The sequence below is a fragment of the Homo sapiens genome, chromosome 5 (genome assembly GCF_000001405.40).
Source record: "Homo sapiens chromosome 5, GRCh38.p14 Primary Assembly".
In the NCBI taxonomy this organism is placed as follows: domain Eukaryota; kingdom Metazoa; phylum Chordata; class Mammalia; order Primates; family Hominidae; genus Homo; species Homo sapiens.
In genome coordinates this window covers 5,346,375-5,360,808 of record NC_000005.10, presented here as the reverse complement: position 1 = coordinate 5,360,808, position 14,434 = coordinate 5,346,375, and the positions used below count along the sequence as shown (strand labels likewise).

The 14,434-nt window shown below is 45.2% G+C and overlaps 1 long non-coding RNA gene across 2 annotated transcripts in view, besides 1 other annotated feature; it reads left to right on the top strand.

Moving 5' to 3' along the window:
- Window positions 1-14,434, top strand: part of LOC101929200 (uncharacterized) — a 163,580-nt gene that overhangs the window by 61,321 nt on the left and 87,825 nt on the right. The gene's annotated exons all lie outside the window — the stretch shown is intronic.
- Window positions 8,407-8,907: an enhancer, noted in NCBI's record as "H3K27ac hESC enhancer chr5:5352015-5352515 (GRCh37/hg19 assembly coordinates)". NCBI's record gives its function as "activates a minimal SCP1, AML or CMV promoter by ChIP-STARR-seq in primed H9 embryonic stem cells {active_cell/tissue: H9 hESC(primed)}" and the evidence as "EXISTENCE:reporter gene assay evidence [ECO:0000049][PMID:30033119]".

The window sequence follows — 14,434 nt, the reverse complement described above, 5'->3', positions numbered from 1 at the left end:
ATCCTCCTGTCCTCATATTCTCCAGAATGTGTGGCAGCTCTGTAGGAGGGGCGCAGTCAGCAGACGCGCACATAACAGAGAGTGGGATTCAGTAGGCAAGAGTATGGGAAACGTAGATGTAAAATTGATAGTGCAATTACATCAGTCAACTATAAGGGACCAAAGCGCAGCAAAGCAGGCTTGTTTTTGTTGCCTTAAACTAAGCATGTGCACTTAAAACATCCCCACATTGTGCTCCCACGCACCGGCTGCCTCCCTGCAGGGGAGCCCACTCTGTGTCCACCTCTTCTCAAAGCTGTTCTCAGCCCACACTTAGACCAGCTGACTCTGAGACCTCTCTCTTGCAGGTCTTGCTCTCCAGCCCCTGTAGGCCTCCAGCCTTGATTTAGGGAGGTGACTGCTGCCATTTAAAAACTCAGCCCCTTCCCTGCCCTTTTAACGGGTGCCTTGTAGGATCATCTTTCTCACCCCTTCCTTCCTCTCCCCTCCTCTTAGCTTTGCTTTCTTCATCCACCTGTTTCTGGGCACGTAGATCCTTCTGCTGTGTGCCGAATGAGCCCTTCTCTCTGGTCCAGAATGTGTCCTCAGAGGCATGAACTTCTGCTTCTGTCCCCTCTACCCAAACACACTTGCCCTGCATTCCAGTGCCTTAAGACCCTGCTCTGCGTAAAATAATCTGCTAGACACACCCACTGTAAGATGATCATTGAGTGACTGATAGGGGAAGATCCAGGTTTTGTGGGGGCCTGAAGCTTCACCAGTTGTGCCTTCTGTAAGAAAAATAATACTTTAGGTATAAAAGTGAGCATTGATTTGGGATGGGAAAAGAAAGCCCAACCAAAGACGGGAGAGGCTCAGGTCACTTTCTCCTGGGACTCCAAGAAAAGATTTATGAGAAATGCATCCTGGAAACTGCTCCTGGAGTGCACCTGGCTTCCCTCCCTGCCTGCCCCGAGCAGAGCAGCCCGGGTTACCCAGAGGAACCTGGGAGCAAAGCGTCTGCTGCATCAGCTTCACCACGAGTCCTCCCTCTGGCGGCACACAGCGAAGTCTTCTGGGTTGAGCCAGGCACATCTGATTTTTGAATCATGGCTCCAGCCTCAACTTAATCCCTGAATGGCCTTGGAAAAGACTTTTACACTTAAGGCTTTCCTCGTCTATAACGGGGAACCATATTACCTACTTCCCAAGTGTGTGATGACATCATGTAGGTAATTCTTTTGTCACACCTGGCAGCAAACACCCACTAACTGGTTAACTCTTAGTAATAGGGTTGATTTTATAAACCTGTAGGCAGCTATCTCCTGGCACACAACCGTGGCATTTCCAGTCCACCAGTGGAGTGTCCCAAAAAATTGATCTGATTTAAAAATGATAAAAACAAAACAACAATGATAGAAACAATAGCACATTCCAGAGCAAAATCCCCCAATTGTTCTAGAGAAATATCAATATTAAATAAGCCACAGCACATCAGAACATCCTCCTCTGCATAAATATTTCACCTGTCACTAGCAGTTTATGTCCGAAGTGTGGGGACGATGCGGTACACTGATGATGTGTGCCCGTCCTGGGGGTGCTGCTGAAATGGGAGCTGTGCTCACCGAGACCCTGTGATGCCTCGTTCTTCTCCCAACCTCTGCTTTCTTGAGTGATTTCCATTACTTAGAACAAGAGATGGAAATCAATTCCAGGAGAAGTACATGGCATGGGGGGCATGACAGGAGGTGTTGTTGGCATTTGGGTTTTATTTCAGGTTTTCATTTTCGGGTTTTCTTTCTTTTTTCTTTTTTCTTTTTCTTTTTTCTTTCTTTTTTTTTTTTTTTTTTTTTTGAGATGGAGTCTCACTCTGTTGCCTAGGTTGGAGTGCAGTGGCGCTATCTCAGCTCACTACAACCTCTACCTCCTGGGTTCAAGCAATTCTCGTGCCTCAGTCTCCTGAGTAGTTGAGATTACAGGTACACGACACCACACCCGGCTAATTTTGTATTTTTAGTAGAGATGGGGTTTCATCATGTTGGTCAGGCTGGTCTCAAACTCCTGACCTCAGGTAATCCAGCCACCTTGGCCTCCCAAAGTCCTGGGATTATAGGATTGAGCCACTGTGCCCGGCCCATTTTGGGTTTTTGGTTCTGAAGGATGACAGCAGGATTTCTAGTCACCCCGGGCCTTGCTGGAGATCTCGGTCAGGCAGGTCACAGATGGCCTGAGAAACACCAGGGGACATACATGTTGGGAAGTTTTGCCGCCTGAGCAAATCCAGGGCACTGGGATGGCGAATCCATGCACCCAACCCAAGAGGCATAAGAAGAGAGGGAAAATGAGAGAACTGGTCTAACCAGCACTCCGGAGAGAGCTTGCAGTCTTGACAATCTATTAATTACAATTTTACAACTTGATCTTTGTTTTTTCCCTGTCAAGAATAGAACCATTTTCCCCAGTGAATTTTGTGTGTAGTATGTTTTCTGCTTAAAAATAAAAGAGAAAGTATGTGGAAGGGAAATTCCATATTTGCCTTGTTTATCTTGTGGAAATGTGAGTACTTGAAAAAGAAATGCATTTGTGTGGGGAAAGAGAGGAGAGGACATTCGGAGAAGCAATGGGACAGAGTGTTCTTCCACATGTTATTTTGATTCCCTTCTCTAGCAAGGCTGAAAATCTGCTCACTGGGCTCCAGTTGCACCCCTCAAACATCTTGGTTTGAGGTTGCCACCATCCATTTCCTGGGACCCATATAAGTCTTGATGAGAAAGTAAATGAAAGATATCCCCCTGTAAAGAAAAATACCAAAGGCCAAGTGGAATACTATTCATCTTTTTGTCATCATTTTATGCTAGTGTTAATGATATTGTTACCTAATTTTAGAAACAACTTAGATGTTTTTGGGAGTGAAGAGTTGGGTGCTAAAGAAATAAAACAATTTAATACTTACTGTTGATCTGTGTTGGTCCTCAGAATTCTCCAATGGATTTCAGTCATTCTTGGTCTATCTGAAGATTTGATAGACCTTCAGTCTTGGTTCTTAACCAAAGCTTCCAAACAGCATCTGTAGTTTCAGGGTCTAGGGCTCCCTTGCAGGCACCCACAGGAAGAGTTGGACATAGTTGGCCCAAATTTACATGAAGATTTGCCTTTAAAAAATTGGTCATATACGCATGTTGTCCCTGAAACGCTGTTTTCTATAAAGCAAGCAAGTTGACACGTATATCTCATATCTGACATCTGAGCTTGTCATGTACTATGACCATCAGTCAACACCCTCGTGAAGGACGCCAGCATAGGTATGTTGTTAGTCCCCTTTTAAGTAAGTCACAATTATAAGGACCTTAGCTCAGGCTGTGTCAAAGCATACAAAGGGATTTAACTTTATATTGACCTGATGATCAATCAAAGTTTTTAAAAAGGCAGCTCAAAACATTAAACAACCTGAAATATTAATTCCATAACATGTGCTGCAGTTATCTTCTCTTTGGAACGTCAGGGAATATAGACACTCATCTTAATGTGATGAGAGAAATATTTTATTAGTCAAGGTAATAATATTTGGTATTGTCTGGACAGCTTGGTTCTCCAAGCTATCTCTTTTTTTCTTTATGGTAACCTGGATGCTTCCCAGGGTCCTTTGGCTGCTGGGACCTCATGCATAGATGAGGTCCCCAACCCTAGGTAAGGTTGCATTCACTTCTGTCTTTTATGATCTGGAGTAGGATAAGAAATCCTTTAGTGGCTCCTTGGTGACCCTGTGCTTTATGTTTGTGTATTTTGGGCTGGTTTATTTTGCTTTTAGGTGTGGGGCTATACCATGTCCAAAAGTGAGTTTCTGTGTCATGATCAGAGGCTGTTTACATTTTTAATGATTTCAGTGAGTATAGTTGACACTGGTTTCTCAAAAACACCAACCTCTTTGTCCTCTAGAGTGCCTGTGATCTCTGGCTTGAGAATAGTCCAAAGTTTCACTTTGATAGGCATTTCCAGGATGTGACAAACTTAAGGTAGGAAAAAATCACTTCTTTCTGAAGGTAAATTTCTCAAATCTTCAGGCTTGACACACAAGGTGGCTAATTATACTTTTTATTCTACAAATAAATAGAATGTTATAATTTTAAATTATTTCTAAGAGGTCTATAGAAACACAAACACACAAACACAAGTATTGACATAATCACACTTTCTACTTCATTGCTGAAAAATTGGATTTTTACTTAAAAATGCACATCTCATCTTTCAGCTCCCATTTATAGTGAGAACATGTGGTGTTTGGTTTTCTGATCCTGTGTTAGTTTGCTGAGGATAGTAGCTTCCAGCTCCATCCAGAGCAATGTGAACACATGGACATGCACGGGGAGGGAGCAATACATACTGGGGCCTGTCGGGGGGTGTGCAGGGGGAGGGGCAGCATCAGGAAAAATAGCTAATACACGCTGGGCTTAATACCTAGGTGATGGGTTGATAGTTGCAGCAAACCATCATGGCACACGTTTACCTATGTAACAAACGTGCACGTTCTGCACATGTACCCTGGAACTTAAAATAAAAAAATGAAAATGCACATCTAATCCACAGACTTTACAAATAATTTACAACACCTCAGTAGGGATTGGCATATTTTTCAGAATTAGTAACACTGAACTTAATTTATCATTCCAGGAGGGATTGTGTACTTTGGTGAAATGATTTCCAAAGAAAAGTAAAAACTAATTTTGGCCTCAAATTTCTGCTAATTGTGTAATTTAAACCTCTATGACCTTAACTTCCAAATATTTTGGCCATATTAAACAAAATAAAATTGATTTGTTAGAAAATGACGTTTCGTAAATACAACCATCCATCCAGCCAGCCACTCATTCATTCCTTCATTCTTTTGTTCATGTCTTTATTTTCTTACATTAGTGAGTTGGATTTTCCTTCTGCTGTGGGAAATAGTGCAAGGAATTACATATTATGAGGTGTATCTCACACAGCTTGACTCTCTTCTCTCAGGTCGATTCATTCACTTTGAAGCGTTTAAGAGAAATGTAGAATAGAAACTGAGGAGGGAGCTTTGGGAGAGTGCCTGAAGACACCACATTCCTTTGGTGTCTAACACCAGCGCCTTAGGGCTGGTGAGGAAATGGGGGTATCCAAGAAGGTGGCCTAACTTGTTCTCCTTAGCAGTGTAGCTCTTGGAGTAAGAACGCAATCTGGAAGGAAGCTGTGATTCTGGCCGGGACCACCGGCAGTTCCTCACTCCACCTGGAGTGTTAAGGACCATCCCAGAATCCCTGGGGCCTGTGGTGGCTCAGTAAACACGATTTGTGCCACAGGCTAGGCCTGGGTTTGCCATGGAGAAACCAATTTTTATCGATGTTGAGGGCATATGAGAAAGTCATACATAACCAAGCGCTGTTAGTTATGGTTGAAATCTGAATGGAGATTAATAGTATAACACATTGACTGATAAAATTGTGTCATCAATATTATTATCAAACTGTAGCAATAAGATGAAGCAATTTATTTTCCTAAGCAAAAAGAAAAAAAAACAGTCTATGAGTTAAGTCCAATGTTAACCCCCCACCTTTATCCTACAGGGGGTAACATTAATGTTTACTATTAGGTTATAGTTCCTTTCAATGAATCGAAGGTCTAAAATTAAAGGGCTCACAGATTTCTAGGCTTCACTGGGCAAGCATTTCTCTAGAGTAATCTAAGATGAAAAGTAATTTTTAAATAGCTGAGCACATGATTTTCTTAAGTAAGGAAATATCAGAAACATGTAGAATTACAAGGTTTCCCCATCTTATGATTGATGAGAGGCTTTTGGGGTGCTGGCATGTCACACCATGGGGGGCAGCTGTGCCAGACTCTATTTATTTACTGAAAACTTAAAAGGAGTGTAAGACCATTGGGATGCCATGATTTTACAAAGGATTACATCAAATAGGAGTGGGGCTTTAGCACGCGGTCCAAAACCAATGTTTAGAATAGGATAAAGGAAGCCCAAAAATGCGACAAAACACAAATCCCTTGCCTTTTCCGTTACGATGTTTATACCGGGTGGGACCACATTAAGATGTTGATCCCGGGTGGGATGGTGTTTCCTTTCTTTTGAAAGGGGAGCCTTGGCATTGGAGAGGCCTTCTCTGTCGAGGTCTTTCTTCCTATGAGATGTGGATTAGTCTCTAGGAGGAGCCTGTGGCTCCTGCCCACGCCATGTCTTGTAGGGAAGGGGAGGGAAAGGCAATTCTGTGCCAGTTGTGGTTGACAGGTTCACCAGAGGCAGGATTATAGGGTAAGTGTATTGAATACATTCTAATACACTGAAACTTCAAGTCACGTTTAGCCCATGAGCTAGTGAAGAGACTTGCCTCGCTGGGCATCCCTGGTCCTGCAGAAGCCTCAGTGGGAGTGACTCCCAGGTTAAGGAGATCACCTGAGGCTCTCCCTCAAGGCAGAGAATGAAATGCACGGGCGCCTGGGACTGGGTGCTAGGGAGACACCGTTCAGGTCTCAGCTCCACCTGTTCGCACTTGGGCCATCTTGGACAAGGACTCATACACTCTCTGCCTTGTTTTCTCTATCTGTCACAGACAGAGATGTCAATACCACCCTCAATTTTCACAGGACTGTCATCAACCTAGTGAGAAAGTTCTCAGAGAGCACGTTGTCCAGAGCTGTGTCGCTATACAGGTTGTGCAAAATAAGTTATTTCAACAAGTGGTGCTGGGCCCATTGGACATCCGTATATGAAACAATGACCTCTCCCAGGGCTGGGGCAGTGAATTCTGGAGAGCACCAAGAGGAAAACAATCCAAAAATGCATCAAAACGCGCCCGCAAGTTATGAAGAGCAACAGCTTCTCCTGTAGCTTCAGGCTCCTACATTCCTGGCAGGTAAACGAGAGGCCGTGTTCTTTCTTTCAGGGGCCACTGGAGGGACGCTGGTGGAGAGAGGCTCGGGCAATGCTCATGCTACCCAGAGGCGCTGGGCTGCTCTCCCTCCCCTCTGTCGGGGTTGAGTCTGCCTGTGACTGTGCCACCTGGGCTGAGTGTCTGGGAGAGACTGGCTGGACCCCAGCAGCAGGGGGGCCAGGATCATCAGCGGAACTGATCCACACTATATTTACTTAGAAATTTTATCATCTACTTATTTTAAAGCCAGGTGTTTTCATCGTCTCTCTCTCGCTCTCTCTTTAAGAAAAAACATCTATGTGTGTATATAGAGACAATTTTTTTTTTCTTAAGCATTTACCAGATGAGGAAAAAAATATCCTGGAGTCTATTTTTATTTTTACAAAATAAAATATTATTTTGTAAAATAATTTTTTAAAGATAATTACTTAAATTATCTTTAAAGGACGGGTGCAGTGACTCATGCCTGTAATCCCAGCGCTTTGAGAGGTAGAGGTGGGTGGATCACCTGAGGTCAGGAGTTCGAGACCAGCCTGGCCAACATGGTGAAACCCTGTCTGTACTAAAAATACAAAAATTAGCTGGGCGTGGTGGCGTATGCCTGTAATTCCGACTCCTAGGGAGGCTGAGGCAGAAGAATTGCTTGGACCCAGGAAGGGGAGGTTGCAGTGAGCCGAGATCGCGCCACTGCCCTCCAACCTGCACGACAAGAGTGAGACTGCTTCTCAAAATACATAAATAAGTTAAATTAAATTAAAAAATAAAATAAATTTTCTTTAAAAAGATAATTTTTGTCTAGACTTGCTAAGAATATAATCACAGATGTGAAATAGATCTACTGACTATGAATGTTTGGTTAAAAGAAACCTTTTAAGTGATTTTCATTCCTTAAGATGAAAATCTGACTGGAACAATCAATGAATAAGTATGTGCGTGTGTGAGAGTGTGCATGCATGTGTGTACGTGTGCGTGTGTGCGTGTGTGTGCATGTGTGTGAGTGTGCATGTGTGTGCATGTGGGCGTGTGTGCATGCGTGTGTATGTGTGCGTGTGTGAGTGTGCTTGCGTGCGTGTATGCGTGTGTGTGCGTGTATGTGTGTATGTGCATGTGTGTGAGCGTGCGTGCATGTATGTGTGCATGCGTGTGTGTGAGTGTGCGTGCGTGTGTGTATGTGTGCGTGTGTGTGATAGTACCTTCGTTTCTGATACTTTGAATATAGAGTTCCATTAGCTCCACTAATTTATTATTATTATTATTATTTTGAAACAGAGTCTCACTCTGTCACCCACACTGGAATGCAGTGTCACAATCTCAGCTAACTGAAACCTCTGCCTCCTGGGTTCAAGTGATTCTTCTGCCTCAGCTTCCTGAGTAGCTGGGATTACAGGTGCCCACCACCACGCCTAGCTAATTTTTGTATTTTTAGTAGAGATAGGGTTTCACCATGTTGGCCAGGCTAGTCTCGAACTCCTGACATCAAGTGATCCACTCACCTCAGCCTCCCAAAGTGCTGGGATTACAGGTGTGAACGACCGTGCCCCGCCAACTCCACTGATTTAATCAGCATTGCTCGGCATCCTTTCCAGGGTGAGGCTTTGGGAGGTTCCCTTCCCTCCTGACACCAAATATATGGTGTCTTTTCTAAGGCCACTTCTCCAAGTCTTTGACACCAGCTGAGTGTCTGAAAATTCAACTTAATTCAGCCACTCTCTACCAGGGGTAGCATCAGATCCCATCAGTGAAGGACTAGTCCCACAAGACTGGTCTCACCCCACACACCAATCCAACCCCACATGCTGATCCCATTGGTGAAGGACCCAGTCCTCCCTCCAGAGGCCAATCCAACCCCACAGGCACATCCCATCCATGAAGGACTCAGTCCTCCCTCCACACACCAATCCAACCCCACATGCTGATCCCATGGGTGAAGGACTCAGTCCTCACTCCACACGCCAATCCAATCCCACATGTTGATCCCATTGGTGAAGGACTCAGTCCTCACTCCACACGCCAATCCAATCCCACACGTTGGGCTCCCAGTTCCTTTGACCGAGTGGCTACAAGCTGGGGGACCCACAATGCTTCCTCAGGAGGATGATGTGGTAGAATGGCTCACAGAGCTGGCAAAGCCACTCCCTTTATGACCACCAGTTTATTATAAAGGGCAAAGTGTGTGGCCAGATAAAGGGGTGCATCGCCCAAGGTCAGAGAAGTCCTGAGAACAGGAGCTTCTGCACCGTGGAGCTGGGGTGCGACATCTTCCCTCCAGGCATGTGGAGCTCTCTCTGAACCTGTCATTTAGCGGTTTTCATGGAGGTTTTATAACATAGACGGAACTGACGCAATCACTGGCTGTTGATGATTCACTCAACCGTTGGCCCCTTTTCCCTGTGGGGTGGGGCTGAAAGCCCCAGGCTTCTAATCAAGGCTCGGTCTTTCGGATGACCACCCCTTTCCTGAAGCTTTCCAGGAGCCCACAGGGAGCTGCCCCATTAGAACAACAGATTCTCTAATCCCTCTTCTCACTCAGAAAATTCCAAGGGTTTTAGGAGCTCTGAGTCAGGCACTGGAGACAAAGACCAAATATCCTTTCCTAATATACCACGAGCACTGTGTATTCAGGTCTTAGATGGATTCTCTAGAGAGCCCTACCCTATTAAATTGGCTCTGACTATGTGTTTCTGATAAATGGGGAAAATAAAATTTTAAAATTTAAAAAAATTAATTTTCTATTAAATCACTAACCATGCCTCTAATCTAGATTTTTCTGGGAAATAACTGGTAGATGGTTGAAAACAGAATATTGTTACAGCCTCTCTCAAAGACTGGCCTTTTTAAATTTTCTTTTGGTAAATTTGGATATTTTAGGTGCCCACAGAAACATTGAAGTGTAAGAAAGTATGAGTTTAAAATGATTAAGGATATCTTAGTGGCATCACCAAATAGAAAATTCTTGCAGAAATACTTCATCTCTTTAGCTATTGTGCAAAGAACTGAAGACTTCCCATTGTAAACCTTGCTGTTGTCACCCCACCTCCTCTCCCCTGTCCCGTGCACCAGACCCCAGAGGGCCCTGTCCCTCCCTCCCTTATGCCATGACCCTACTGTAGCCTTTCTCTGGCTTAATATAAGGTTTGTTTGGGGTCTGTCTCTTTTCAGCTCTCTGAAGGTGGTAAGATGCATGGTAGGTCTCCACAAAAGTCGGCGAGATTAATGGATGGGTCATCTCTTCTTTAACGAGAAAACTTCTGAAATTTCATATGTGGGCTGATTTGTTATTAAGTGTTTCTGTTCCTCTCACTCTGTGATACATTGGAATTTAACAGCAAGAAAACCATCATCTTTGTCTGACAAAGTTCTGTGCAAAGATGTCTTAGTCTTGTCACTGATCTTAGACCCTGCAGAAGACCTAGGAGTCCAGTGTCCTCACAGTGATGAATGAAGTAACAGTTTTACTTTTGGATCCTCGTGTACTTGCAAACAACATTTTTTTCTTTGGCCCTTGAACCCCCTGGGAAGAGAGGAGCTCACCGGCCAGAGTGAAAGAGCCCCCGTGGGCTCCAGTAAGGGGTGACTCATTGGGACACAATGAATGTTTGCTGTGGACTGGGGGAAGGACGGTGACTAAGCCACACCCTTGCTCCGTGGTCCCCACTCCCCCACCCCCAAGCATGACTTGACAGCCTGAAATCGGGGGAACCGAGGAGTGGTCAGACAGGCACACAAATACTGTTTACATTACTCTGCAGCACGAAAGAGACCTGAGACGTTTATAGCCCAGATGGGTATTTAGTGCTGATTTAGAAATTCCATGTCATCCTGGTACGTCCATTTTTCACTCTTCTTGACAAGTGCTGCAGCTTGTCTCTAGGATCTTAGAACTCAGTGCCTGAGAAGGTTTACAAGATCTGGGATTCAAAGCATGGGTGCAAATAGAAAAGAAAACAACCTACCATGAAGACAATACAGGCTGCCCGGGCACAGCGAAACGGGCAGTGTCCCCCCTGGACGGTCCCGGGGCAACCGCAAAGAGAAGCTGGGGAAAAAGTAACTCTTCCTATGAGATGCCAGAGGACCTCTCCCTCGTGGATGTGCTGGCGTCCAACAGCCCCACAGCATTCCTCCTCCACGTCACCTTGCTGCTCCTCTGCTCCTCTGACCCCCAAGCCCCAGAGTTCACCCAGCTCAACGTGCCTTGGACCCCAGGAGGAGCTCCCTGTACTAGCCCACTCCACAGCTTCCTGTGAGGTGTTTTCGCTCTTTCAACTTCAGGCTTATACTAGAACTGCCCTCCACATTCCTTTCCTTCTAAATGTCCCTCAATCCAGGTTCTCTAGCTTTCCCTCTAAAGGGATGACATCTCATGCAAACCCACCCAGGGATGGCCTGTGGAGCACCTGTGGGTCTCCATGGACAACGGGGCCACAAAGTAGGGGGTCGGCCATCAGAGGTGGCCTTGCTGCAGCCTCTCTCGCCATTGTCAGTGTTTCTTCTCGTATTCGGTTCTTGGCTAGGTATTTGGATGGCTTGCAGGCTATGGAAAACAAGGAATTTGAAGTTCCTGAGAGTCTTACATTAGGAACAGGCAGAGCACGTAGGGAGGAAGTTGTGAGTTGCTTCTCGAGTAACGGACAGAGAGGTAGGGCTGTAAGGAGCCCTGGTCCTGTTTTGCCATTCTCCATGACGTGACCTTGAAAGTCCTTGAAACTCTTCAGCTCTCAGCTGTTCAGCCTATAAAATAGAGGTGGATTCTATGAGCTCTTCTTCTAAAGAGTCCTTCACAGAACACTGGTTCTTCTCAAACATAATAGTTCTATTTCAACTTTAAATAAAGTAAATTGCACTTCACCAGGTCTACTGCTTTACACCAGGTCAGCACAGTTCTCCTGGCTTCATTTTCTCTGTGTTATTTTTATTTGTATGTGTATACGCATGTGCACACAAAGGGAGTACTTCTATCCATCCATTTGTCACCTCAGTAGCACTGGCAGCAACTCACACAGCTGGATTTTAATTTAGATTTTTGGATGCCTAATTGTTGCTTCAGTTGTCCTAAAAAAGATTGGCTGGGTTGCAGCTTGGAGAAGAAAAATGTTATGTTCCTAGCTGATTGCCTGTCACTGACAATCCATTCCACTCAAGCCAGGGAGAATTGTCCAGTGTCTTGGAACAGGTGGTGGAGGTGGCTCAGGAATGAAGACAGTTTGGTAGAAGCTGAGGCACCTATTACTTAAAACCCTTCTGTCTGGCATTACAGAGGAGGTGTTTAACTTTCAACAATGGACAGTTTAAGGTGGAAAATGTTTGGCCAAATAAGAATGCAAATGAAACCTTAGTATTCTTCAAAAATTCTGCAAAACATGTGCTGCCTGGCTGCCGTGCTGTGTTTTGAGCCGATAAGTTCTGCCTTTCATCCCTGCTCCATCACTGCAGGGAGCCCAGGCCCATCTGCCTAGATGTGTCGGCCCCAAACCTTGACACCATCCTTGGCTCCACTCTGCTCACGCCCACATCCTGTCCATCAGCAAGGCTCCTTGTCCCCACCTGCAGGAGGCATCCGGGCTCGGCCTCTTTCCCATGCCTTCCACTCTGGAGCTGCTGTCTCCCACCAGCATCTTCGTGACTGCCTCTCAGTCGGCCTCAAAGCCTCCACCCTTCCTTCCTCCTCATCACTTCCTCCTCACCGCAGCCAGAGGGTCTTACAAGTCACAGTCCTCCTTCCCCGCCCCCTGCGCCTGCCTCCTGCCTGCAGCTCAGCAGACATAGGAGAACACAGTGGTCCAGGAGACCTCACATCCCAGGGCGCCCTGCCCTGTCACTCGGGCCCCCACCCTACCTCCCTGAGCTCCTAGAGGCCCCTTCCACCTCCCGAGCCACGTCCTGCTGTGGGGACTCGGCCTTGCGGTTCCCTCTGACCAGTGTGCTTTTCCCCCGGCACTTGCCTGGCCTTGTCCTCCTTCTCTGAGCTCTCAGATGCCCTGAGTATAGTGAGGCTTTCCCATGAAGCAGCGATGTCCCTCCCTCCCTTATCCCCGCTCCCAGAGTCCCACTGCCCTCGCTGTTTATCATGTTTCTCCATAGCTCTTAAAACCTTTTGGCATATTATGTGTGTATGTTTATGTGTGTGTGTTTGTGTGTGTGTTTGTGTGCATACTGTGTGTTTGTGTGTGTGTGTGTTAGTTCCTTAGTGCCTCTCTAATGAAGCACCGGAAACCAGATGGCCTAAACGAGATCAATGTATCCCCTCCCGGTTCTGGAGGCCGGAAGTCTGAGGTCCAGGTGACAGCAACGTTGGTTTCATGATGTGGCATCAGTTCCAGCTTCTCTCCCAGTGTCACGTATCTCCTGTGCAGATGTCCTAGTCTGTTGGGGCTGCTATAACGGAATACCACAAGCTGGGTGACTTAAACAACAACCATTTATTTTTCACATTTCTGGGGGCTGGGAAGTCCAAGATCAAGGCATTAGCACATTCAGGGCATGATGAGGTCCTGTTTCTGGGATTTGCGTCTTCACATGGTGAAAAAGGTGAGAGAGCTCTCTGGAGTCTCTATTATAAGGGCTATAATCCTACTCATGACAGATCCACCCTCATGACCTGTCATTTGTCCAAGGTCCCACCTCCTAATAACCATCCATAATAAATTCACAAGGTTTGAACATGTGAATTTCAGAGGGACACAAACATTCAGTGAGTAGCAACAGATAATCTACTTTTGGCCTACACAGCTTTTACTTTTTAGATAATGTGATTGAACATTTTTCACTGAAGTATGCACACTCTAATTTGCCCGGGTCTCTTCAGCTTCCCCACCCTGCCTGTTGTGTGGATTTATAATTTTATTTGTACCCTACTGGTGACTGAGAGTGAAACCCTTCTTTGGCAATGTCTGTTCACATCAAAATGATGGTTTTTCTCTTAAGGAAACCTGAGAGCAAGAATAAGTGTAGCCAAAACATATATAAACTGCATCTCTAGAATCCTCAGTGGTGGCACAATCCATTGTTTGCTAGTGTTTGGTGACTGTTAGATGATGATTAGCTTGATGTGAGATAGGTAAGCTTAAAGACATTCTTAAGTTTAATTTTGTTTGATTTGGTACAAAATGCATTTGTGTTTATTTTAAGAAACTCAACGTTTTTATGGAGTAATCCAAAATGGAGATAAAACTTGATTAAATGAAGAGTTTTTAAAACTGGAAGAGATTTTGGGGAGCATCTGGGATCCTAATTTTTCTTTTGAAAGAATTGAGGGCTGGAGGAGGATTTTGAACACAAGTGAAAAGACTGACTTCTGAGTTTTTTTCTTTTGCAATATTTCTTTTTGAACTTATTATGAAAAAGGCACCACTTGCTTATCCAGAATTTCTAGTCCCCCCTCTCTGCTGCTAAGAAGGTATTTCCTGGAACATCAGGCTGTGGCCAGATTGGATGCAGTGGTAGTGTATGCAAGTCTGCAGGTGCAACGGCCTGTGATGGTAGATGGGCAAGGATGGCACCCCTGGGCTGGAGCAGACACCAAAATACAGCTGCCCCCTAGACAATTC